General features: G+C 53.1%; 1 protein-coding gene and 1 long non-coding RNA gene across 5 annotated transcripts in view, besides 3 other annotated features; one reads left to right on the top strand and one right to left on the bottom strand.

The window, feature by feature from the left end:
* Positions 3034 to 3433: a silencer, noted in NCBI's record as "silent region_7170". NCBI's record gives its function as "represses an Ori minimal core promoter by ATAC-STARR-seq in GM12878 lymphoblastoid cells {active_cell/tissue: GM12878}" and the evidence as "EXISTENCE:reporter gene assay evidence [ECO:0000049][PMID:35858748]".
* Positions 3376 to 25860, top strand: part of PPL (periplakin) — a 54642-nt gene continuing 32157 nt past the window's right edge. For 2 of the 4 annotated variants that reach the window (NM_002705.5, XM_017023375.3), the window contains exon 1: positions 3376 to 3540. In NM_002705.5, coding sequence (NP_002696.4) covers positions 3479 to 3540 — 62 coding nt within the window. In that variant the 5' untranslated portion in view covers positions 3376 to 3478. Of the gene's footprint in view, positions 3728 to 25860 lie in introns of all 4 variants that reach the window. The other 2 variants (XM_006720902.5, XM_017023374.3) reach the window with 2 other exon arrangements.
* Positions 11631 to 12201: an enhancer, noted in NCBI's record as "H3K27ac-H3K4me1 hESC enhancer chr16:4978324-4978894 (GRCh37/hg19 assembly coordinates)". NCBI's record gives its function as "activates a minimal SCP1, AML or CMV promoter by ChIP-STARR-seq in naive H9 embryonic stem cells {active_cell/tissue: H9 hESC(naive)}" and the evidence as "EXISTENCE:reporter gene assay evidence [ECO:0000049][PMID:30033119]".
* On the bottom strand, positions 14596 to 25461 carry LOC105371064 (uncharacterized). The gene is made up of 4 exons (XR_933028.3): positions 24733 to 25461; positions 22121 to 22139; positions 17179 to 17351; positions 14596 to 14848 (listed from the first exon to the last, which is right to left on the bottom strand). It is a non-coding gene; the product is annotated as an uncharacterized LOC105371064 (long non-coding RNA).
* Positions 21527 to 22082: an enhancer, noted in NCBI's record as "H3K27ac-H3K4me1 hESC enhancer chr16:4968443-4968998 (GRCh37/hg19 assembly coordinates)". NCBI's record gives its function as "activates a minimal SCP1, AML or CMV promoter by ChIP-STARR-seq in primed H9 embryonic stem cells {active_cell/tissue: H9 hESC(primed)}" and the evidence as "EXISTENCE:reporter gene assay evidence [ECO:0000049][PMID:30033119]".

Genomic DNA, 25860 nt, shown 5'->3' with positions numbered 1-25860 from the left:
GACTGACGCCTGCAATCCCAGCACTTTGGGAGGCTGACGCAGGTGGATTGCTTGAGCCTGTAGGAGTTCAAGACCACCCTGGGCAACATAGTAAGAGCCCATCTCTACAAAGAATTTTAAAAATTAGCCAGGCGGCCGGGTGCAGTGACTCACACCTGTAATCCCAGAACTTTGGGAGACCAAGGCAGGCAGGTCATCTGAGGTCAAGAGTTTGAGCCGTCTCTACTAAAAATACAAAATTTAGTTGGCCATGGTGGCACGTGCCTGTGATCTCAGCTACTCGGGAGGCTGAGGCAGGAGAATCCCTTGAACCAGGGAGTCGGAGGTTGCAGTGAGCCGAGATTGCACCACTGCACTCCAGCCCGGTGGTAGAGTGAGACTCCTTCTAAAAAAAATAAATTAAAGGCCGGGCGTGGTGGCTCACGCCTGTAATCCTAGCACTTTGGGAGGCCGAGGTGGGTGGATCACAAGTTCAGGAGATCAAGACCATCCTGGCTAACATGGTGAAACCCCGTCTCTCCTAAAAAATACAAAAAATTAGCCAGGCGTTGTGGCGGGCGCCTGTAGTCCCAGCTACTTGGGAGGCTGAGGCAGGATAATGGCATGAACCCAGGAAGCGGAGCTTGCAGTGAGCCGAGATCATGCCACTGCACTCCATCCTGGGCGACAGAGCAAGACTCTGTCTCAAAAAAAATTAAATAATTAATTAATTAATTAAAAAAATTTAAAAAGGCCAGGCACAGTGGCTCACAGCTGTAATCCCAGCACTTTGGGAGGCTGAGGCAGGCAGATCACAAGGTCAGGAGTTCAAGACCAGCTTGGCCAACATGGCAAAACTCTGTCTCTACTAAAAATACAAAAATTAGCAGGGCGTGGTGGCAGCAGGAGAGTTGCTTGAATCCAGGAGGCAGAGGTTGCAGTGAGCCGAGAGTGTGTCATTGCACTCCAGCCTGGGCGACAAGAGCCAGACTGTCAAAAAAAAAATAATAATTAATTAATTTAAAAAAAATTAGCCAGGCATGGTGGTGCACACCTGTGGTCCCAGCTACTTGAGAGGGAGGCTGAGAAGAGACAACGGCTTCCGTCTGGGAGGTCAAGGAAGGCTGCAGTGAGCCATGATCACGCCACTGCACTCCAGCCGGAGCAACACAGCAAGACCCTATCTCCAAAAAAAAAGAAAGAAAAAGAAAAGTTAACGTGTTTTTGTTTTTGTTTTTGTTTTTTGACGAAGTCTCACTCTGTCGCCCAGGCTGGAGTGCAGTGGCACGATCTCAGCTCACTGTGACCTCCCAGGCTGGAGTGCAGTGGCGTGATATGAGCTCACTGCAACCTCCCCTTCCCAGTTTCAAGAGATTCTCCTGCCTCAGCTTCCCAAGTAGCTGGGACTACAGGCAGGCGCCACCACGCCCAGCTAATTTTTTATTTTTAGGAGAGACGGGGTTTCACCATGTTGGTCAGGCTGGTCTTGAACTCCTGACCTCAGGTGATCCCCCTGCCTCGACCTCTCAAAGTACTGGGATTACAGGAGTGAGCCACCGCGCCCATCCAAGTTAACATTTTTAATATGTGTCCCCTGCCCCGGGACCTGAAAGCTCCCAAAGAGAAAGCCCCTTTTGTGTTGTTCTTTTCCCTTTTCTCATCCGTGTACAACAAGCAGAGCCAGGCACACTGAGGCTGTGAGAGTGATGGGAAACATGTGTTGAATGAGTAAATGACTCCACTGAGCAATACATCCTCCCCCAGAAAAATGCACATTTGGACACACACATTTTGAAAGCAACTTTAGGGCTGGGTGCAGTGGCTCACACCTGAAATCCCAGCACTTTGGGAGGCCAAGGTGGGAGGACTGCTTGAGCCCAGGAATTCAAGACCAGCTTGGGCAACACAGCGAGACCCCATCTCTACAAAAAACATATATAAATATAAAGGTTTTAAAAATTAGCCAGGCGTGGTGGTGGACACCTGTGGATCCAGCTACTCGGGAAGCTGAGGTGGGAGGATTGCTTGAGCCCCAAAAGTCAAGGCTGCAGTGAGCTATGATTGTGCCAATGCACTCCAGCCTGGGCAACTGAGTCTCAAAGAAGAAAGAAGAAAGAAAGCAAGAAAGCAAGAAAGGAAAGAGAGAGGAAGGAAAGAAGGAAGGCAGGCAGGCAGGCACAACTTTAGGAGGAATCACACCTCTATTTACGCCTAGTGGTCCATTATTGGAACGTGACGCCTGTGGGAGTTATCTCCTACTGCTCAAGGTCACTGCCAAGGTATGATTTATCAATTCAAAAAATTGCAACCTCAGGCATAAATGGGTTAAGCCCACCCATAGAAGCCCCATTAAGAATAAGGTTGGCTGGGCACGGTGGCTAATATCTGTAATCCCAGCACTTTGGGAGGCTGTAGGCCGGCAGATCACTTGAGCACAGGAGTTCAAGACCAGCCTGGGCAACATGGTGAAACTCTGCCTCTACAAAAATTTTTAAAAATTAGCCAGGTGTGGTGGTGTGTGCCATCCGGGCTTCAGGTCAGATTAGGTTTCTGTCTAAGGGCAGCCTCCTCCACTGGCACACAGTCTGGGCCAGGACATGCTGGCAGAATTGTGCAACGTCGTTGTTCTGAGCCGCAATCGAGCAGCTTTTATGACCAGCTATGAAGCGCTCTTCTAGTGCCAGGGCCTGGAGTTATTGAAGTTTCAAAGGAGTTTTTGTCCACCCGAGATGGCAAGCGGAGAGCAGATTCAGGCCAGGGCACTGCGCTCAGCGCTTTGCGTGCATTACCTGCAGGGACATCCCCACAGGCCTTTCGGATGGGGTGGTGGTTATCACCGTTTGACAAAGAAGTAAACTGTGGCTGGGAGCAGTAAAACACCTTGCCCAGGAGTGTCAGCCAACCTGGGGGTGGCAGGGCTTGAACTCAGGCCGGCGCCCTCGGCAGTTCAGCCCCCTTCCCTCAATTGCCACCATCTGAGTGCAATTCGCTAGCTACTAGGGCACATGAATCCGTGCGGGTCTCTGCCGCACCTGTCTTGCGGGGCCCAGCTGGGTGTCCGCCAAAGCACCAGGAGCGCCGAGTTCCGCGGTAGCGCAGAACCAGGTGAAGGCCTCGGCCAGAGGCGCGCCGGGCCCGAGGAGGGTGGGGCTGCGAGCGCTCGCCCCGGCGGCCTTTGCGCCCCAGTGCCTGCCCGGCCTCCGGAGTCCCCCGGCTGGGGGTGGGCGGCGTCCGGCCAAGACCCAGTGTCCCCACCCCCGCGTCCAAGCCCCGCCCGCGCGGTGGCCCCTCCTCGGGAAGGTAAGCACCACCTTCTCGGGGAGCGGCCCGCAGAGCCAGTGGCCGGCGGGCGCCCCGCCCCCAGCGAGTAGGGACCCGGAGCCACTGCCGCGCCGCAGTCCGGGCTCCCCGCGCCGCCGCTCGCTCACCTGCGCTCCCGCCCGCCCCTCGGTGCGCGCCCGGCCCGCCAGCCGCCGCCGCCCGCACCCCGAGCGCCACCATGAACTCGCTCTTCAGGAAGAGAAACAAAGGCAAATACAGCCCCACTGTGCAGACCCGGAGGTGAGGAGGCGCCCACAGCTCCGCTCCGGGACGCTCTTGCCCCTGTGGGCGCACAGGACCTGGAAGACCTCCCGGGCAGTGTAGGAATGGGGGGTACGGGGGTCCAGGAACCGGGAACTGAACCCGGAGTGCGGGACTCTCGGGAACGCGGGACCGAGGCCACCCTGAAGCTGGGAAGCGCCGCCAGGTGGGAAGGGACTGGCTGGGGTCCCCGAGGGGGAGCATAACACAGGGGACTCCGGGAGCCCAGGGAGCATTGCCTTGAGGGCCTAGGGCACGGGCAGCTGAGCTGGGGGTACAGGGCACCCCCGTGTCCCAGGGTCGCTCTTGCGCAGAGGGTCGCACAGGACCGGGAATAGTCACCTGGATGAGGGGGCGGAGTTTTTGGAGGACCGGGCACTCAAGGCGGGGTCGCTGCGGGCGACCCAGGAAGCTCCGTCCAGGGGGCGCCCTGAGGCAGGGAAACTGAGCTGGCGTCGGGGGGCGCTCTCCAGCGCCTCTGAGACCGCGCAAGTGTTCCTGGCGTCGGGGAGGCGAGGGATGGGTGTCCGGAGGGGGCGGGCCACCCGCCGCTGCACTTCCCGGCACCTGCCACCCTGCGCGCCAGAGCCGCGCCCGGAGGCCCTGGGGGGTGTGGGGTCGGGTCGAGGGGCACAGGGGGAGGCACCCCCTTACCTCCCCACCCTCTGGGTTCTGAGCGGAGGTTGGGCGGCTTCGGGGCCTCCTCTTCGAAGCTCGGTTTCGCAGGGGTGTGGCTCCCTGCCCCCACCCCAGCCCCGAAACTGGCGGCGTCTCTGAGCCGCGGGTTCCCAGGGCGGCCTGGGAGGGGAATGGCATGTCTTGATGTGTTTGCAGGGAGAAGCAGCCCACGTCCCTTTTGATAAGCCTAATGTGTTCACTTAATAACCGGTTTAGGGGAGCCTGGTGGAGATGCTGAGATTGACGGAGGGGGTGGGAATCCAGCCCCTGCCTTATATCCCCACTTCGGAAAATAGAGTGGGGGCTCTGGGCTAGCAAGGACCATTTTGCCAGCTTCTCGGACAAGAGGCTTCAGGCAGGTGAGGGGCCCGCACATTACATGGCTCTCCTGTCTGGGAGTTCTGCCCCCAAGCTGCTCTCACTGGGAGCCCCCACTGTGCCCTCAAGCAGCTCCTCACTTCTTCCCTAGGCAAGGAGAGGCCTCTGGGCCCAGGGCTCCCACTCAACCCCTGCAGTCCGGCCTAGGCCGACCAGTCGGACAGGTGCAGGCGGCGGGGCCCTAGCACGCTGGAGTGCGACACTCCATTCCGGGGCCTTCCAGCCCTTTCAGAAACCCCCCTGCCCTGTGATCCCACCCACCCGTATCTCCGTTTGGGCTCTTTCAAGCTCAGAGGCATTACCCGCCTTTAGAGATTTCCCCACCCCTCCCCTATCTTTCACAACCCCAGAGACTGGGCAGGGCCTGCACACCCCTCCTCCATGGCTGCGTCCAGCTGGCACTCAGACCCAACCAGAGGCCCGTCCAGTCCCTGCACTGTTCCCTGGGGCATTGCACAATTGGATGCTCCGTGCCAGCCGTGGAGAACCGTTCTGTCCTCTCCACCCCAGAGACTAGACCCATCCAGTCCTTCACACATGCAGACACCCACATACCAGTGGTGGGGCCAGGCCTCGCCCCGCCCTCTGCCTCCTCCCAGCCTCCCTCCTTCGTGCAGCTCTCCATCCTGAAGGCCCCAGCTTGGACCTAACAAAAGGTTCTAATGAACCCAGACAAGCTGGGAGGGGTGCGGGCTTTCCCAGAAGCATGAGGATGAAAGGCATCCCATCCTTTATAGCTGCAGGGACTGGGAGGGTCTGGGGTGGCAAAGATTTGGGGTCCTGCCACTCTCTGTATATCTGGCCCAAGGCAGCCACGGTCTGTCCTAGGCTGATAGCCATTGGTCCCAGATCTCCATTTAGACGTCTCTTTCTCCAGGAAGCCCTCCTGATTCTCTCCCCAGCCTGGGGTGCAAGACCATTCCTTTGAGCCTTGCCACCCCAGCACAGAATGAGCACAGCCACAGCCCTGAGCAGATGTCAGATGCCTCCCCGGGTGGTCTCCAAGCCCAGTGCATCCCTCTGCCCCCTCCCCTTAGTGGGGACTAGTTCGCAGACTGGATTGTGGGGTGGGGGTAGCCCTGTACCCCATCCTCTCAAACGCATCTCTTGAACATTGCCTGATGCCCAGCCAGCCCCATAGCAAGTGTCTTGGTGGGGGGGTGGAGGGGACAGACTTGCGGCTCTAGGCTGTGGTCGCTGGTCACAGGGAGTGGATCCCCAAGTTATTCCTTCACTCTGAGTTTTCCAGGGGCCCGCTCCATTGTCTGGGGGAGGACAAAATTGCTGGTGAGATTCAGCATGGGGGGCAGTAGGAGCTCCAGCACTGAGAGCAGAATGCCTCACTGTTGATCCTGGCATCTCCACCCTGGAGCCTCTCGAAGCCTTGTTTTCCCTTTCTGCACAGCACGGGTGGTAATACTGAGTGTCTCATGCATAGGGCTGCTGGGAGGAGCAGTGCTGTAGCACACAGGAGGTGCCCGGATGAGGGTAGCAGCCCTTTCCGAGCCCAGGGGACCCAGGAGCCCCAAGTGGTGACTTTCATACCCAAGGTAGTCAGGCCTTTGGACTACAAAGTGTGGATTAGTGAACGGAACACCCCACCGAGAAAGCCACCCCTTCCAGTTTGTCTGCCTTTTAGCAGCTGAAGCTGGGGAGGGCCGGGACAGGGTGTGAACCCCGTTGCTCCCGTTGCCCGGGTTCCTAATGACAGGTGTGGGAGTTGATGTTCACACCTGAGCTAATGACAGAGTCAGGCCAGATGGTGCAGGTGACCGAGGACAGCCTCCAGCCTAGTAGAGAGGCCCTGGAGGAGACCCGCTGCCACCCTCCTGGCTGTGCGACCTCAGAGGAGCTGCTTGGCTTCTCTGAGCCTGTTTTCTCACCTGTGGGATGGGAATAAGCACGGTGCCTGCCTGGCGATGTTGGCTCAGGATTAAATGAAATAATGCAGGGGAAAGGTTGTGAATGATAAGCGGCCGCAGGTAATAGCATCTGTGACGATTACAGTTATTAAGCAAATGCGGGCAAGCTAGCTGTGGTGTACCCAGGGTTAAACTTGATATCATGGTGGACAGGCTGTGCACTGCACAATTCCATAGGCACTGTTGCTGGGTTTTAGCACGTGGTCGTGGAGGAGACGTGGACAACCTCCCTGCACTTGAGTCGCTGGCAGTCACATCACAGAGATAAGATGGAGTTAAGCTTCAGTACATGTATGGTTACATGAGCGTCGGACTGATGGGGCCAGGCAGGAGCAATGGAGCATAGAGCCGGACAGATGAGGTCTCCACCCTGGCCACTCACATACTTTGTGACAGGCCTCAAGTGAGAGTTGTCACAGTCAGAGCACAGATGCTGGGAGGTGAGGGAGGACTTCACAGAGGAGGCATCTGACCTGTCACGGGGTGGGATGGAGTGGCCAAGACCCAGCTCTGCAGTCAGGCTCAATTCTGCCTCTGCTTGAAAAGAAACATAGCATCCCTGAGCCCCAGCGCTTCTGAATTTGTTGAATGGGATTAATCTTGCCCCTCCACCCAGACCTGGGTCCCAGTAAACACCCAGCAGCCTGGCCTTGCCTAGACGGGTCTTGCAACACTGGGGCCGCCCTGATGGAGCGCTCCTGCATGGGAGGCAGGACCCCAGGCTTTGAGGGGAGAGCTGGCAAAAGGGAAGCATGCTCTACTGGGAGGCACCTGGGGTACCCTGAGCCTCTTAGTGGTTAAGAACACAGTGTTTTATTAGCTGGGCATGGGGGTGGGTGCCTGTAGTCCCAGCTACTCAGGAGGCTGAAGCAGGAGAATCCCTTGAACCTGGGAGGCAGAGGTTGCAGTGAGCTGAGATTGTGCTACTGCACTCCAGCCTGGGTAAAAGAGTGAGACTCTGTCTCAAAAAGAAAAAAAAAAAAGCAAGAACACAGTGTTTGATGCTAGCTGGGCATGAGTTCAGGCCGCAGCTCTGGGTCTCTTAAGCTGTTTGATCTTGGGCAAGTCACTTAATGTCTCCGAGCCTCAGTTTCTTCATCTATGAGGTGGGGTGACAACAGCAACCCCCAGTTGGTGAGGCTGCTGGGTAGATCAAATGAGGGGATGCACATGATGGGTCCAGCCCATGACCTGGTTCAGAGCGAGTGCCCGGCAAATCATAGCAGCCAATACTAGGAAGCACACACTGCTATTAAGAGTCATGACGGGCTGGGCGCGGTAGCTCACGCCTGTAATCCCAGCACTCTGAGAGGGTAAGGCGGACGGATCACTTGAGGTCAGGAGTTCAAGACCAGCCTGGCCAACATGGTGAAATCCCATCTCTACAAAAATAAATATTAAAAATTAGCTGGGTGTGGTGGCGGAAACCTGTAATCCCAGCCAGATACTGGGGAGGCTGAGGCAGGAGAATCACTTGAACCTGGGAGGCAGAGATTGCAGTGAGCCGAGATCACACCACTGCACTCCAGCCTGGGAGACAGAGCGAGACTCCGTCTCAAAAAAAAAAAAAAAAGATTCATGACTGAGCCAAGCCCAGAGCTGACCAGGGAGCTGACTCAAGCAGACACGCACATGCACCCATCGATCAGTGTTGGTAGGAACGCCTGATCGATATGGGAGGGGACCCATGTGGGTAACAGCTTAGAGAGAGCCGCCCCGCCATTTCTCAGGCACATACTGTGAGCCCAGCAAGGCCATGGATGTTACATCTCATTCTGACAGCGGGCCTGCCATGCAGGTGGAAGTGTCCTGTTTCACAGAGGGCTCACATTCACCTTGAGCTCACAGCTCACAAATGGCTGATGCTGGAAGTCCAGGGGGGCCTGGGGAAGCAAATGAGGCCTCCCCACTCGTACCTGGATCTGGCAGCAACTGTGCCTGGGGACTGCTCCAGGCCAAATGGTAGAGTCATTGGTGTTTGTGCTCACTGCCTCTACCCCCAGCAACCCCCTCTACCTCTCTTCTCTCTAGCTTTGCCCCTCCATCCCTTGCCCAGTTCTCTTGGAAGAAGGAATGAGACTGGATAAATTCGATTCAGGACAGAGCTGAGCTTACCTGGAGGAACAGCTGCTAATGGTAGCATTTCAGGCACTGTCGGGCGGATCATGTTGGGAAAGGGTATTTTGGGGGAGAGACTCAGCTCCGTCCACACCCTTTAAGCAATACCCTAAGGGTGTGGTTGGGGGAGGCCCTGGAAGTAGGGGACCTGGGGGAGAAGCTGCTTTAGAGAGCTTCCAAAGCTCCTCGTCTGGGGAAGAGAACCCTGGCTTCCCAGCGTGCAGCTGCTCTCTGCTCCCGGCAGGTCTGTGCCGGTGTTACCGGCACCACCTTGCATCCTCCCAGCCTGCCTGCCCCGGCCTGTCTTGGGAGCGAATGGGGAAACGGCCTCTGGTCTTTGTTCTCCCGGCTTCTGATGGGTTGCTGTGCTGCAGCCTCTGGAGCCCGGGAGGCCACCTGGTGCCCCTTTCTGCCTCCGGGTGGGACAAAGCTCTCTTCAGGTCCCAGCCCTGCCCTTCCCTACCCCAACCTATTTTTTTTAAGTGTTCTTTCTTTATTCTTTAGAGACAGGCTGTCACTGTATCACCCAGATTGGAGTGCAGTGGTGCGATCATAGCTCACTGTAGCCTTGAACTGCTGGGCTCAAGCAATCCTCATGCCTCAGCCTCCCAAGAAGCTGGGACTACAGGTGTGCACACCACCGTGCCCCGCTAATTTTTAATATTTGTAGAGATGGGGTCTCACTATATTGCCCACTCTGGTCCTGAACTCCTGGGCTCAAGTGAGCCTCTTGCCTTAGCCTCCCAAAGCACTGAGATTACAGCCATGAGCCACTGCACGCAGGCCCTTTCCCTTTAAATGGATCCCCACTTCTCCCTGCCTGCAGAGCCAGCAGCCCAGCAGGCCTCCAGTCCCTCTTCACTGTTCCTTCTTCCACTCCAGCGCTCCAGTCCCTTCTCCCCATGGCAGCCAGGGAGCTCCTTACGACATAAATCTGACCATACCTCCAGCTGCTTAACCCCTGCCCCAGACCTCTCTTTGCTCTTAGGCCCTGGGAGCTGGTGCCCTGCACATCAACATGTGCCTGTCACCGTCTTGTTTCCACGCTGTGCCCGGCCACAAGGCCTTTCCCTCTGCCATTCCTGTTGCCCAGAATGCCCCTCCCACCCCTTTTCACTGCTTCTCTTCCACTTCCAGGTTTACCTTCTGTTCCTCAGGGAAGCCTTCCCCAACCTCTCTGCTGGGGTAGATCCACCTATTCTATGGACTCCCCTTCTCCTTGGTAGCTCTTATCTCAGCAGCTATGTGACTCCGGGGTAGCCACATGTGGCTGTGTGGCTGCCTTCCCCCAGACACTGGTGCTACACGCGTGCTGAATGAATGAATGAATGAGAGTAAGCCATGGGGGACTGCTAAGATTCTCCCCTTCCCTCAGCATTTCAAGAGAGCATACATTGCCCTGCGCTTCACACCCCAGGACCAGCAGAGCCCGGAGGTGGGGATGAATGGGGCAGGGGTTCCAGCTAGTGGAAAGGAGTGCGAGGCCTGAGCAGGCTGCCCCCTGCCCTGTCCCCATCCAGTCACCTCCTGCGTGCAGGACGGTGAGCAGAGAGTTGGCTGAGTACACAGCTGGCAGCAATGCGGAGTGATAGTGAGATAAAGGAGGGCCCTGACCCAGCCACACAGGCTTCTTCAGGAGAGGTCCTCCACGCCGAACCCGGGGATCAGTTGGAGATGAGAGGATAAAGAGAGTGCAGTTGACAGAAGGTGACGGGGATGTGTGTATCCACGACCCGAAAAGGCATGACAGTGAGCAAGCAAAGCAAGTTGATGAAGGATGCAAAGATGATGCTTGCATATATACATTTTTAGAAACATACACAGAGCAATTCCACTTACTCTTCCTGAATGCAGATGTGTCTATGTATTGGAAAGCTTAGGGAACCAGGTGCAGTGGTTCGCACTTGTCCTAGCGCTTTGGGAGGCCAAGGCGGGAGGATGACTTGAGGCCAGGAGTTGAAGACGAGCCTGGGCAACATAGTGAGACCCTATTTCTACCAAAAAAAAAAAAAAATTAGCTGGGCATGGTGGTGCATGCCTCTAGTCTTAGCTACTCAGGAGGCTGAGAGGGGAGGATCCCTGAGTCCAGGAATTCAAGGCTGCAGTGAGCTGTGATTGTGCCACTGCACTCCAGCCTGGGCAACAGAGCAAGACCCTGTCTCTAAATAAATAAAATAAAACAGGCTTAGGAAGAACCAGTAAATCTAAAATTCTGCTACTCCTAAGAAGGGGCCTGAAAGGATAATGAACAATAACATTTCTCTTCCTTTTTAGAAAAATCTGCAGCAAAGATGGTACTGTGAAAACATCAACCAAACCGTGGTGGTGGGGACATGCGTGGCTGATTCTTTTCAGTACTTTTCTGCATGTCTGAGTAGATCACGAGTTTTCCAGTTTAGGTGAAGGGTGGAGTAGAGAAGGCGAGCTGGCGTGGGGCACAGCTGGCGGGGGGCACAGCGTGGGAAGAGCCTGCAGGCAAGCCCTGAGTCCTGGGTCTCAGAGTCCAGTCCATAGCAAAATAAAAGGTCTGGGAGAGGAAGAAGAGGGACCTCAGGAAGCAAAGGGGGCCCAGTCCTGGAAGGCAAGCAGGCAGGTTCTGGATGGGGAGACAAAAATGGAGAGTCTCTGCAAGGAAGTGAGAGGGGAGGGGACCAGAACTGGGAAAGGTATGAACACAGAAAGGCCTTGAGGTTGGGTGCTAGCTTAAAACCATCACCCTAAATTATGATTATTACATTGTCTGAGATAAATTCTACCCTCAGCTCTCGTTCCAAGTGAGGCTCAGAGAGTTTGAGTGACTCGCTCCAGGACTCTCGGCAGATCTTTTTTTTTTTTTTTTTTTTTTTTTTTTTTAAGGTAGAGTTTCACTTTTGTTGCCCAGGCTGGAGTGAAGTGACACAATCTCAGCTCACTGCAACCTCTCTGCCTCCTGGGTTCAAGTGATTCTCCTGCCTCAGCCTCCCAAGTAGCTGGGATTACAGGCGCCCACCACCACGCCTGGCTATATTTTGTATTTTTAGTAGAGACGGGGTTTCACCATGTTGGCCAGGCTGGTCGCAAACACCTGACCTCAGGTGATCCACCTGCCTCGGCTTCCTAAAGTGCTGGGATTACAGGCATGAGCCACTGCTCCCAGCCAAATAGAGTTTCTTATCTGAGATTGAAGCAGGGTTGAAGCCCTGTCTCTTCTTTGTGGTACAAACTTGGAATCCTTTCCCACCCTTCGATGGGAAACAAACCATCGCCATGGCGAAGGCAGAGAATTTGAAACCCTAAAAGGTATCAGCCTGAAATCCTAGCCCAGGCAGTGGGGGCAGCAAAAAATTCTGCAAGTTCTATTTCTCCCACAGCCCTGCGGCCTTGCAGGCTCAGCCAGCAGCTCTGGTGTGTTTTATCTTACAAAGCATGACAAAAACCCTCTGCCTAGGAAAGGATGGGCGGGGCGGCCAGGACACCCTGCCAGCCCTCTCAAAGTGTCTGGGTAAGAACTGCTGAGATGGCCGGGCACAGTGGCCCATGCCTGTAATCCCAACACTCTGGGAGGCCTAAGGTCAGGTGTTGGAGACCAGCCTGGCCAACATGGTGAAACCCTGTCCCTACTAAAAATACAAAATATATTTTGTGTTTGAGCCCAAGAGTTGAAGGCTGCAGTGAGTGAAGTGCAGCAATGCACTTCAGCCTGAATAACAGAGCAAGACTCTGTCTCAAAAAATGAAAAAGGAGGCTGGTGCTCTTTCTCCAGTGGTCCTGAACCCAGAGTGACATCCTGATGCCTTGGGGCACCAAAGTTGGCTTGAGCCCTGTTTATCCCCCGAGTCTAGGAATTCAAAGCTGCAGTGAGCTATGAATCCTCCCACCTCAGCCTCCTGAGCAGCCAGGACTAGAGGCATGCACAACCATGCCCAGCTAATTTTATTTATTTATTTATTTTTGGTAGAAATAGGGTCTTGCTGTGTTGCCCTGTCTTCAAGACCTGCCTTGGTGTTACCTGAAGCAGCTTGAACTTCTGTATGTTTGTAAAAGGAGCCCAAAAGCACTCACCTGACACAGAACCCTAGGCCCCATCAGAGGCCTGGAGGCAGGGCGGCCTTCCCTGGGCAGAAACAGATTAGGCCTTAAAAACAGACCTGGAATTACTACACCAGCAACCTTCTCATCTTAGGATATATTTCCACAGGATTAATAGCTGGGTGTGAGGACATTTACTGTCTAATTAGCACAGGAGTTTCTAGTAGTGAGAGAATCAGTCAATTGACCAATCAATCTGGTATTCATTGGGCACATTCTGTGTACTGCTTTCTCACAGGGCTTCCTTCCTATAGAGATCTAGGATTCTTCGGCATCTTGCTTCTTTTAAACCTTGCTGTGGTTCAGTTCCTTGTTCTCATCCCTGGCTGTACATTAGAATCACCTGAGGAGTTTTGAACAGCATGTCAGAGCCCTTTCCAAGACCAGTTAAGTCAAAATCTCCATGGACATGGGTCCAGACATCATTCTTTTGATGTGCAGCTGTTGGGAACCACATAGTTACATGGATTGCCTCGCTCCCTCTTGTCTTTGAGATATATGGACAGTGCTTTCTCTCTTCAGTATCAGTTGCCTGGTATGTCACTCTCCATTCTTTATTCTCAACCTTCCTGTATCATTTAGTTTCAAGTGTGTGTGTCTTATAAAATGGCATATAGCTTGGGGAAGGTGTGTGTTTTGTAATCTCACCGGAGAGTCTTTTATCTTTTAATAGGCAAAATTAACTCATTTACATTTATTGTAATGACTAATGTGTTTGAACCTACTCCACCATAGTGCCCTATTTATCATGCTTTCCCTTTGTTTCCATTTTGCTCTTTTCCTGGTTTTTACTGGATTGAGTATATTTTCATCATTAAAGTTAGATTATAAGGCCTAAATGGAACACAGTGGATGAAAATACCCTGGTGTAAGTGATCTAAAATCTTTGTTTTTGGTTTTTTTTTGTTTTTTTTTTTTTTGAGACAGAGTCTTGCTCTGTTGCCCAGGCTGGAGTGCAGTGGCACAATCTCAGCTCACTGCAAGTTCTGCCTCCCAGGTTCACGCCATTCTCCCGCCTCAGCCTCCCAAGTAGCTGGGACTACAGACGCCTGCCACCACGCCCGGCTATTTTTGTTTTTGTATTTATCGTAGAGATGGGGTTTCACCATGTTAGCCAGGATGGTCTCAATCTCCTGACCTCGTGATCTGCCCGCCTCGGCCTCCCAAAGTGCTGGGATTACAGGCATGAGTCACCGCGCCAAGCCAAATCTTTGTAATTATACCCATTGGGGTGTTTTTCCTTAACCTACCTACTAGCTTACAAGCTTTTGAATAGTTGGGATTTACTCATCTTTTGGGAGAGGGCCTTCTGTTGTCCTTAATTCCAGGCCTTACATAAGCTTGGGGCTCCATAAATAGGTGTGAAATTGAGCAGGTATTTTATAGCATGTGGACAATTCATATCTCTGGGGGCTTGTTAATGGTGAAGGGCCTGTTGCCAGGGCCTGTAAGGGGCAGAGAGATGACAAAGAGTTGGTGGGGTGGGGTCGAAAATTTATTTGGCAATTACTGAATATCTAGAAAGTGCCCAGTTGGGGCTGCAGCAGTTACAAGCATAGACCTCTTACTAACCTATTGACCCTGAGCAAGTGGTCTTCCTGAGGCTCAGTTTCCTCATCTGCAATGGAGCTATGATAGCACGTACCTCAACTAGTTGTTATAAGGATCAGAGATGAAACCTGCTTCCGGTGCTAGGGTAGGGTGTGGGCCAGGAAGGTGCTCACTCAATGGCAGTTGCTTCCGCCTGAAAGGTCTGTTTGGAGGGACAGGCTGGGAGTCCCTTGTGGGGACAACTTAGGAGAATGACTCAGTCTCCGTTTACCATCACTAATCCTTACCCAACCAACCACTGGGATTAATTGTACTGATGAAAATGACAACAAACTGTAAATCACTCTGCTTCCCTGGGTGGTGAATGCCTGGTCCCATCATCCTGTCTCTCCGATGTCTCTTGTCCCTTTGTCTGTAAGGGGTGGGTGTGGATTGATACTGATGTCCCCTTTGTACTGAGAAGGTGGCTTTTTGAAGCCCGTCTTCATGGGTTCGAATCTTGGCACCACCACTTCCCAGCTGTGTAAACTCGGACCAGTTTCTTAACTTCTGTGAGCCTCAGTTATCTTCACCTAGAACACAGAGACATAAGAGTTACCGAATTGCATTAAAACATCTGCTCAGTTCAACACCTATTTATTGAGCCCAGCCCTACGCAAGGTGTGGAATTAAGGTTATAGAAGGGCCCCCAAAAAGGTGAGTAAGTTCTTTTTGTCCAAAAATTTAATAGCCTAATAGGTAGGATTAAGAGCCCCAGTAACACTAAGGGTGGCTACTTCCTAGGGCTATGAGACGTCAATGGGTGATGCACAAAAGGACTGAGCGGTCGCTGGGCACCCAGTAGGTGCCCTCAGTGTTGTTACTATTCATCAGTTATTTCCTGAGTGTCCACGGTGGTTGCCTTTGTGTCAGAGCCAGGGCAGATGTTTCAGGAGCCAGGCAGTGTTTAAAGAAGGTAGGGGCAGAGGGCTACTCGGCACCGGAGGTGCACCTCCCCCAAGCTGGCCCTCCAGGCAGGCAGGACGCCAGAAGAGGATGACCGTGGTGGCAGGAGGCCCAGCCCCTTCTCTGGGCTCTGGGACAGGTGAGGCTGGTTCCAGGGAGGGGTGTACCCTCCTGTGCGTTCCAGACATTCCAGCAGCAATGCAACCCCAATACACACCCACTGAGACAGAATTAACCCCCAGAGGAAGGAACTGCAGATGTGATCAAAGGCCAGTGGCCCTGGCCAGGCAGGGAGTGCTGAGCCTGCAGGGACCTGTGTCCACACATGGGAGGAGAGTGCAGGCTGGGCTGTGAGCCAGCAGGGGACACAGCAGTTCTGGGCGACAGGGACAGCTGGGGTGGAGGTGATGGCAGGAACGTGGCCCCTCCGATGTTGCTAAAGTATGATCTGTTACCGGGGTGGCTGCTCTCGCAGCCTGGAGAAGGGGATGGCTGTGAGCAGGCCAGGTGCCTCCAGCACAGCCCCATGGCCTATGGACAGGGTTGCAGGGGCTCTGGGGACCTGGGGAAGGGTGTCTTGCTGCGGTCTTCGTGCCAGGGTCCTCCACACCCAGGCACCAGGCTCCAGTGGGCACAGTGGGGAGCCCCAGGTTGTTTTGGAGTCAGGCAGCCAGGGAGGGACCCACAGAGGAGACCCTGTCCTGGGGCAGACATCTAATCAGTGAGTGTGGGCAGGAGGAGTCACGGGGTTCAAAGAGAATGAGCATTTATTAGGTGTCCCTGGGTACCAGGCACCGAGTGAGACTGGAAGATGCTCTGAGCGCCCATCAGCTTTCCTACAGCAGAACTGAGAGACTGTGGTCACTGCGGGCTTAGAGCAAAGCAGGTCCGGGTGCCCCAGAATCACCTAGAATCTCGCAGTCCTATTCAGTAATTACTGGCCCCGTGACATGGGCTGTGCACGTATGTCTGTGTGCCAGGGTTTGAAGACTTAGTGTGAAAAAGAGAATGTAAAATATCCGTTAATAATGTTCTGTTGACCACCTGTCAAATTGATCATATTTTGGATATATTAGGTTAAATAAAATAGAAAAAAATTCGCTCATTTCTTCTTACTCTTTTCACGTGGCTACTAGAAAAATGTAAATTCTGTGTGGCTCAGGTTCAGTTTCTGTTGAACAGTGCTGGCCTTGCATACAAAGCAACTTAATACCTGAACTCCTGTGGGAATGTTTTCCAGCTGTTGAGTGTCTTTCTGCTTGTTCCGTGACAAGCAGGCATGATAACCCCATTTATGTTGAAAGAAATTAAGGCTGAGACAGGTGGAGTAATACATGCTGTTATTCCAAAAGCCAGCATAGTTCATTCAGTCTGATGGGCGCTACGGACATGGCAGTGAACAACAGACAAAGAGCCCTGCCCTGGCAAGGCCCCCACCAGTGACACGGAGGAAGAGGATGAAACCCAGTTATCCTAATCATGGTGCGGCCACACCCAAAGCGCTTTCATTTATAAGGGTTATCTCCTTGAATTATCTCAACCCTCTGCAGTGGGATCAATTCCTATCCCTGTCTCAGAGATGAGGAAACTGAGGCACAGAGAGACTAAGGAATCTGCCCGAGCCCACACCTGGGTTAGAGCCACAACACAGGCTACGTTCCCTGCCCTGGCCAGGCTGCCTCAGTTTCCTCCCCTGCAGGCAGGGTAGAAAGAATGGGCCAGTTGGTGCCATGTGACTTGAACAGGTACAGCTGAAGACATCAAGGGTGGCTCTTGAAGCCACCCCCACCCAGGGAGCCCCCTTCCAGGTCGCTGATGGCTGGAAGGTTGCCATTCATGGTGTCCTTGGAGGGTCCACGTCTCTCCTGGGGGCAGGAGGCCGGGAAGCATATCTCCCCAACTCTTAGGTCTTTGTATGATGCAACCAGATCATCCCATCATCCAAACTAAAACTTACCTGTGCTCCCAAATGCTCTCAGAAAAGAGAGTGGGTGGCTGTTGCATTGGGCCAGGTAAGAAGTGGTGACTTTGATCAAGGTGAGGCCAGAGGGGCAGATGGAGGAGGATGCGCAGGAGACGCGTTCCCAGGTAGAACCAGTGGAGGGAGAAGCAGGGACAGGTCTCAGGGATCTGTTGGCATAACCGGGTAGACAGGTCCTCCCCACCCTCCCCTTCTGCAGTTTCCCTTATGCGGACGGAAGAACGTTCTCAGAGCAGTGGGAACACCCTGTACCCTTCAAATCCCCAAACCTACTGACTCTGATCCTTAGCCCAAACCCAAGACAGCTGAAGCGGGCTGTGCGTTTGTCCCCCAGCTAGGCCCAGGGAGTGGGCATCTGGGACGCAGGATCTCCTGTCCTCCCGACACCTCATTACCCATATATGGGCACCAGCCTCTCCTCGCAGATGTTGGAGGAGATGGTTCCAAATTCTGAGGTTAGTTGTGAATTCCACGTGCCCCGGCAAGGCAACATTCACAGGGCAGAAGCAAAGCACGTCTGGGCTTGCACCAGGATCAGCGTGAACAGTGTGGACGGCCGGGGGTCTGCTTTCATCTCCCAGGTGCTGGAGGATTCTAACTTCAGGCCTTGGCTTCTGGCTTTTTGTTTGTTTCTAGGGTTTTTTTGTTTTGTTTTGTTTTGAGATGGAGTCTTGCTCTGTCACCCAGGCTGGAGTGCAGTGGCACAGTCTCGGCTCACTACAACCTCCGCCTCCCAGGCTCAAGCGATTCTCCTGTCTCAGTCTCTCCAGTAGCTAGGATTATAGGTGCCCACCACCATTCCCGGCTAATTTTTGTATTTTTAGTAGAGACAGGGTTTCACTATGTTGGCCAGGCTGGTCTGGAACTCCTGACCTCAGGTGATCTGCCCACCTCAGCCTCCCAAAGTGCTGGGATTACAGGCATGAGCCACCACGCCCAGCTGGCTTCTGGCTTTTATCAGCTCCTTAAAAGGAGCCTAAATCCCTGGATGGTGGACCCAGGTCAAGGCAGAGCCGGGCTCCTCAGAGGCAGCACCCCATATCTGTTCTCTCAGTCACCCCCACCACAGCCCTGTGGCATGCATACTGTGATGACTCTCATTTTACAGCTGGGGAAACTGAGGCTCAGAGAGGCTAAGTAATTTACAGTTTATTAAGAGCAGAGGCAGGATTTGACCCCGGGCTGTCTGGCTTTGGTCTGGGTGCTTAACCACTGGGCCACACTGCCCTTCCAGCTGAAAGAAAGTGCCAGTGGCACCCGCACAAAATTAAAGCAGGAAGAGAGACCCAGGAGGTGGAGAGCGAGGGTCCCCCGAGACACCTGTGTTATCTTTCTCTGCCCACGTGGAGCATCGGTGGTGTGTCAAGGCCAGGGTGCTACCTCTGTCCCAGCTCCTCTCACGGGCATCCCTGCTGGCCCTCTGAGGACTGTGTGCTGTCCTGGCGGCCAGGACAGCACACAGTCCTAGGTTCGAGTCCCAGCTCTCCACTTTGCAGCTGGGCTTACTGAGCCACTGGGTCCTCAGCCTCGAGTTGCCACCTCTAATGCAGGCTGGGGCCAGGCACAGTGGTACACACCTGTAATCCCAGCATTTTGGGAGGCCGAGGCGGGCAGATCACTTGAGGCCAGGAGTTCGAGACCAGCCTGGCCAACACGGTGAAACCCCATCTCTACTAAAAATACAAACATTAGCCGGGCGTGGTGGTGCATGTCTGTAATTCCAGCTGCTCGGGAGGCTGAGGCACGAGAATTGCTTGAACCCAGGAGGCAGAGGTTGCAGTGAGCCAAGATCATGCCACTGCACTCCAGCCTGGGTGACAGAGTGAGACTCAGTCTCAATCAATCAATAAAGCAGGTCGGGCTGTGTCTACTGAGGCTCTGACTCCTGGCGACAGAGCCAGGAGACCTGATGCCATCTGAGGCCCCCAGGCCCCCTCCCTAGTGGTTCCTCTGCTCTGAGTATGTCCTGGGACACAAGAAGATGGCTGTTCAGGCTCAAGCCTGCGGGCTCAGACCCAGGAAGCCCTTGTCTGGTCCCTGGGAGTACCCTCAAACACAGCCCTGGAACTCCGAGGAGGAACCGGGCAGCCTCCTGACCTGCTGGTTCCATTTTTCCTTGCTTGCATCAAGAGCCTCATATGCAGACCAGGCCAAGAAAATGGGGCTCTGTGAGACTGCTCAGGATTGTCCCAGACTCTGGCATCCCCAGCCCAGAAGGAAAAAGCTAGGGAAAAACAGCCTCAGTCGACTCGAGGTGACTCGTAGAGGCTTGCAAAACCCATCTAGCAGGCAGCCCCTGACCCACAGCGTCAACAAGGCTGAGGGGGCTGTTTCTGCTGCCAACCAAGTTCTGGGTCCTCATTCAGGCCCACTGGTGAAACAGCCAGCAAGGCCCGAATTGTATAAACAATGTAAATGAGCCAGGCACAGTGGGCTCATGCCTGTAATCCCTGTACTTTAGGAGGCCAAGTCAGGAGCATCCCTTGAGCTCAGGAGTTTAAGACCAGCCTGGGCAACAGAGAGAGACTCCATGTCTACAAAAAAATTAAAAAATTAGTTGAGGCCGAGTATGGTGGTTGACACCTGTAATTCCAGCACTTTGGGAGGCCGAAGCAGGCAGATCACCTGATCAGGAGTTCAAGACCACCCCGGCTAACATGGCGAAACCCTGTCTCTACTAAAAATACAAAAATTAGCCAGGCATGGTGGCGTGCGCCTGTAATCCCAGCTACTCGGGAGGCTGAGGCAGTAGAATCACTTGAATCCAGAGACGGAGGTTGCAGTGAGCCAAGATTTTGCCACTGCACTGCAGCCTGGACAACAGAGCAAGACTGTTTCAAAATTTTAAAAAGAGTATAAATGATCTCAAGTCTGTTTCAGGGACGCTGCTCTGAACCTCCAGTTCAGTCCTTGAACCACAAAGGTGTCTTTGAAATTTGACCGAGGTGTCCTTTCTTTCTTTCTTTCTTTCTTTCTCTCTCTCTCTCTTTCTTTCTTTCTTTTCTTTCCTTCTTTCCTTCTTTCTTTCTTTCTTTTTTTGAGACAGAGTCTTGTTCTGTTGCCAGACTGGAGTGCAGTGACTCAATCTCAGCTCACTGCAACCTCCACCTCCCAGGTTCAAGCAATTCCCCGGCCTCGGCCTCCCAAGTAGCTGGGACTACAGGTGTGTGCCACCATGCCCAGCTAATTTTTTGTATTTTAGTAGAGACGGAGTTTCACCAGGTTGGCCAGGATGATCTCGATCTCCTGACCTCGTGATCCACCTGCCTCGGCCTCCCAAAGTGCTAGGATTACAGGCGTGAGCCACCGTGCCTGGCCTGACTGAGGTGTTTCTAAAAGTGACCCTGATTACCCCCACCCCACAAATACACTTTTTTTGGTTTTAATTTGAGACAGGGTCTTTCTCCATCTCCCAGGCTGGAATGCAGTGGTGCGATCTCACTCAGCTCACTGCAGCCTTGACCTCCTGGGCTCAAGCGATTCTCCCACCTAAGCTTCTCAAGGAACTGGGACTACAGGTGCACACTACCACATCTGGCTAATTTTTGTATTTTTTGTAGAGACAAGGTCTTCCTATTTGCCCAATTTGGTCTCGAACTCCTAGGCTCAAGAGATGCTCCTGCCTCAGCCTCCCAAAGTGGTGGGATTACAGGTGTGCACTCCTGTGCCTGGGCCCATACATGAACATAACTAGAGAGGATTTCTTGCTCACATTTCACAGATGATGAAACTGAGACTCAGAAATACAGAGTGGCTGGCCAGGCATATTGTGGCTCATACCTGTAATCCTAGCACTTTGGGAGGCCGAGATGGGAGGATCACTTGAGGCCAGGAGTTCGGGACTAGCCTGGTCAACATAGTGAGAAACCATCTCTATTTAAAAATTTGAAGAAAATATAAAAAGATTAAAAAAGAAATACAGTGTAGCTCCTCTGTCACACTGTCACAGGGTCACATTGCTGGTTGGTGCAGTCAGGATCTGAACCCTATCTGACTCCAGACCTGAAGTCTTTCTCCTACACAGGCTGCCCTCCCAAGTGATCCTGGGTAGTGACTTCACGTCCGGGACCTTGGTTTGCTCATCTGGGTAATGAGCAGGTGGGGCTGGATGGCTTCTGAGGCCCCTTCGAGGGCCAGCGGCCACTGCCCTCAGCACGTGTGTCCGTGTTACCCTCTGAGTAAGAAAAGGGAGGGCTGGGCGTGTACCCTCGGCTGTCACTCAGGCCCTTTCCCTTTTCCGGTGTGTGTGTGGGGAGGGGGGATATCTTTGTGTTCCTGGCTCAGGCAGGTGGCTGCTGTCTGTGTCTGCATGGGCAGGACAGGGCTGTGTCTCGGCCTCCATCAGTGGGGCTGATGGCCCAGGGGTGCCACGTCTGGCTGCCCCGATGCGGCTCATTACCGAGATGAAAAGCTGGACCAGCCTAGCCGGTTTCCCAGCACTCCTGGGACCTGTCCCCTTTCCTGCAGGTTCCTGCCCCACCCACATTCCTGCTGGCTTCCTAGCATGGGGCTCCATAGCTCTCCAAGGGGCACACATGGTTGATTCCTGCGGCCAGCTGGATGGTGGGGGGAACACAGGACCGCAAAGCTACAGGGCAAAAACGCTGAGACTGTGCTTCCGGAGGCCTGGATTCGAATCCCAGCTCTGCCTTGCTTGCTGGCAGTGGAACTGTGGCCAAATGATGGAATTTCTTTGTACCTCAATTTCCCCATCTGTAACTGAGTGAATTGCATGGTATATGAATTCCATGCAATTCACTCACTTAAAGTTGTAATCCTCCAACTTTTGAGAATAATGGTACTTACTTAGAGGCTGGTAGGATTGATGAGCTAATATATATGTGACTTGCTTCGCAGTGGGCAGGACAAATAGCTCTCTAGGAGTTAACTAGCATCTTCCAGGCTGCTGGGGGATTACCTGCAGCTGGCCAGCTTCCCTGGAGAATGAGACAAGAGGCAGGACCTGACTCAGGAGAGAAGAAACAAACCCCTGTCATTTCTAAATGGCACTTGCCTTTTTTTTTTTTTTGAAATGGAGTCTTGCTCTGTCGCCCAGGCTGGAGTGTAGTGGTGCAATCTCGGCTCACTGCAACCTCCACCTCCCGGGTTCAAGCAATTCTTCCACCTTAGCCTCCCAAGTAGCTGGGATTACAGGTACCTGCCATCATGCCTGGCTAATTTTTGTGTTTTTAGTAGAGACGAGGTTTCACCATGTTGGCCAGGCTGGTCTTGAACTCCTGACCTCAGGTGATCTGCCCGACTCAGCCTCCCAAAGTGCTGGGATTACAGGCCTGAACCACCATGCCCAGCTGCCTTTTTTGTGTTTTTTTTTTTTGTAGCAGCTTTACTGTGATGTAATTCATATATCATCCAGTTCACTCATTTAAAGTGTTCAGTTCAGTGTTTTTGTTTTTGTTTTGAGACAGGGTCTCACTCTCATTGCCCAGGCTGGAATGCAGTGGCGAAATCTCGGCTCACTGCAGCCTCAACCCCCTGGGCTCAAGTAATCCTCCTACCTCAGCCTCCCGAGTATCCAGGACTACAGGTGTGCATCACCATGCCCAGCTAATTTTTTGTATTTTCAGTAGACATGGGGTTTCACCATGTTGCCCGGGCTGCTCTCAAACTCCTGGTCTCAAGCGATCTGCCCACCTCGGCCTCCCAAAGTGCTGGGATTATAGGTGCGAGCCACCACGCCCAGCCCAGTGGATATTAATATAGTCACAGAGTTGTACAGCCATCCCCACGATTGATTTTAGAACATTTTTATCACCCCAAAAAGAAATCTGATACCCCTTAGCAATCACTGTCCATTTTACATCCTCCTGGGCCATGGCAACCACTCATCCACTTTCTGCTCCTGTAGATTTCTGCATTCTGGACGTTTCTTATCAATGGAATAATATGTGAGCTTTTGTGTCTGGCTTCTCTCACTGAGCATAACATTCTCGAGGTTCCTGAGGCTGTAGCAGCTGTCAGTCCTGCCTTCATTCTTTGGCCGAATAATAGAGATAGACCACGTTTGGTTTATATTTTCATCAGTTGATGAATATTTGAGTTGTTTCCACTAAAAAGTGGAGGCCAAAAGGCTATTATGAATCATGCTGCTGTGATTCATCTATGTACAAGTTTCTGTGCAGGCATAGATTTTTTTGTTTTTTTGTTTTTGTTTTTTTGTTTTTTATTTTCTGAGATGGAGTCTTGCTCCATCACCCAGGCTGGAGTGCAGTGGCGCCATCTCAGCTCATTGCAACCTCCGCCTCCCAGGTTCAAGCGATTCTCTTGTCTCAGCTTCCCGAATAGATGGGATTACAGGCACATACCACCACGCCCAGCTAATTTTTTTGTACTTTTAGTAGAGATGGGGTTTCACCATGTTGGCCAGGCTGGTCTCGAACTCCTGACCTCAGGTGATCCACCTGCCTCGGCCTCCCAAAGTGCTGGGATTGCAGGCGTGAGTCACCGCATCCAGCCCAGACATAGGTTTTCATTTCTCTTGGATAGATATGTAGGGGTGGGCTGGGTGCAGTGGCTCACGCCTGTAATCCTAATATTTTGGGAGGCCGAGGCAGATAGATTGCTTGAGCCCAGGGGTTCAAGACCAGCTGGGGCAACATGGCGAAACCTCCCTCTCTGAAAAAAAAAAAAAATTAGCTGGGCACGGTGCCAGGCGCCTGTAGTCGCAGTTACTCGGAGGCTGAGGTACAAAGATTGCTTGAGACTGGGAGGTCAAGGCTGCAGTGAGCTAAGATTGCACCACTGCAGTCCAGCCTGGGCAACAGAGTGAGACCCTGTCTCAAAAAATAATAAGGCTGGGCGCAATGGCTCACACCTGTAATCCCAGCACTTTGGGAGGCCAAGGCAAGTGCATCACCTGAGGTCAGGAGTTCGAGACCAGCCTGGCCAACATGGCAAAACCCCGTCTCTACTAAAAGTACAAAAGTTAGCCGGGTGTGGTGGCACACACCTGTAATCCTAGCTACTCGGGAGGCTGAGGTAGGAGAATCATTTGAGTCTGGGAAGCGGAGGCTGAGTGAGCCGAGATCATGCCAGTGCACTCCAGCCTGGGCAACAGGGTGAGACCCTGTCTCAAAAAAATAAATAAGTAATAAAAATAAAAAAAATACGTAGGGGTGGACTTGCTGGGTCTTATGGTGACTGCTTAACTTTTTGTGGAATTTCTAGACTGTTTTCCACAACTGTACACCATTTTGCATCCCCACTAGCAAGGCACGAGGGTTCCAATTTCTCCACATTTTTGCCAACACTTGTTATTGTCTTTTTTATTATAGCCATTGTAGTGGATGAAAAGTGGCATCCCGGTGTGGTTTTGGGCTCTTGGCATTTTAAATTAATCTGTGAAGTACCTACTGTGTGCTGGGAGCCCTGTAAGATCGTCACATGGAATTGTTAAGGGCCTAGAGTCCTGGCTCTGCCATCTAATTGCTGGGTGACTTTGGGAGAGTTATTTAACCTCTCTGATCCTCAGTTTCCACACCCATAAACGGGGATAATAATACAATTACCTACCATGCTAACACCCAGCTCTCAGGGTTGTCATGAAGATTGAGTCAGAAACAGTGAGGAGCCTGGCACGTAGAGAGTAAGTATTAGCTCATATTACGATGGTGGAGATTGTTATTGGTGTGATTTTCCTAGCATCCCCATGAGTAACTTCTAGCCCAGTCGATCACATGCCTCTGGAGTGAGATTGCTTGCGGGGAGAATCGCGGTTCACCAGCTGTGTGACCCTGAGCAAGTGCTTTGATGTCTCAGAGTCTTGGTTTCTTCATCCCCTTCTTCAAAGGGGCACACCAACCTCCCCGGGGACTTAGGGCAAGGATGATATTGAGCTGGTGCCTGTGAATATGTCTGAGGTCTGGCAAAGCCCACAGCAAGTGGCAAATGCCCAGGATGCCTTTGTGGTCATCGCCAGAGGACAGATGGAGAAGCGGAGGCTGTACGAGGGTAGGGCACTTGCCTGAGGCTGTCTAAGCAGCAAGCAGCCCAGTGGGCCTTGGGCCTGGCCTGTCTGCTCATAGCTTCCTGCTACCGCTCACAGCTTTGTCCCATCAGGAGTCCAAGGTCCCTGAGGCAGTGGTCATTGCCCCACAACTCCCATGTCCTCTGGGGGGCTTCGGCTGGAACAACAGGCCCAGCCAGGATAGAGTCCAGAAGGTGGCTTTTCTTGCATCTGCCACAATCCATGAAAGGGCTGGTTTGGGAGCTGGCCCTGTGCCTGAGGTGGGACTGGGCCCAAGAGAGACAAAGGCCCCCACTTGAGCCACAGTACAGACCCTAACGATGCACTGCAGAGTCAGGGGTTAAATATTTGGGGTGAGACTCACCGCCTCTAGGTGCAGCTGGCCTGGCAGATGGTCAGTGACTGGGGTGGGAGTGTGGGGGCCCAGAAACTCACATTCTCCATGTGGCCTGCCCAACCAGGAAGTGGGGGGTTAGGGAATGAGGGAGGAGTCGGGTGGACCCCTGACCTGGCTGTTCTAGAAGCCCACCTTATCCCTTCTTACCGAGATCCTCCATCCAAAGCCCCCCACTGCTAAGCCTTCCTGGCCACCCCGCCAAACACTGGCTTTCTCCACTGCAGGACTTGTCAGTGCCTTTGCTGGCTCATGAACATATCAAGGATGGGGTTTTCCT

This window comes from Homo sapiens, chromosome 16, assembly GCF_000001405.40.
Source record: "Homo sapiens chromosome 16, GRCh38.p14 Primary Assembly".
NCBI lineage: Eukaryota > Metazoa > Chordata > Mammalia > Primates > Hominidae > Homo > Homo sapiens.
Note: the sequence above shows the minus strand (reverse complement) of the source record. Positions and strands in the feature narration are given on the sequence as shown.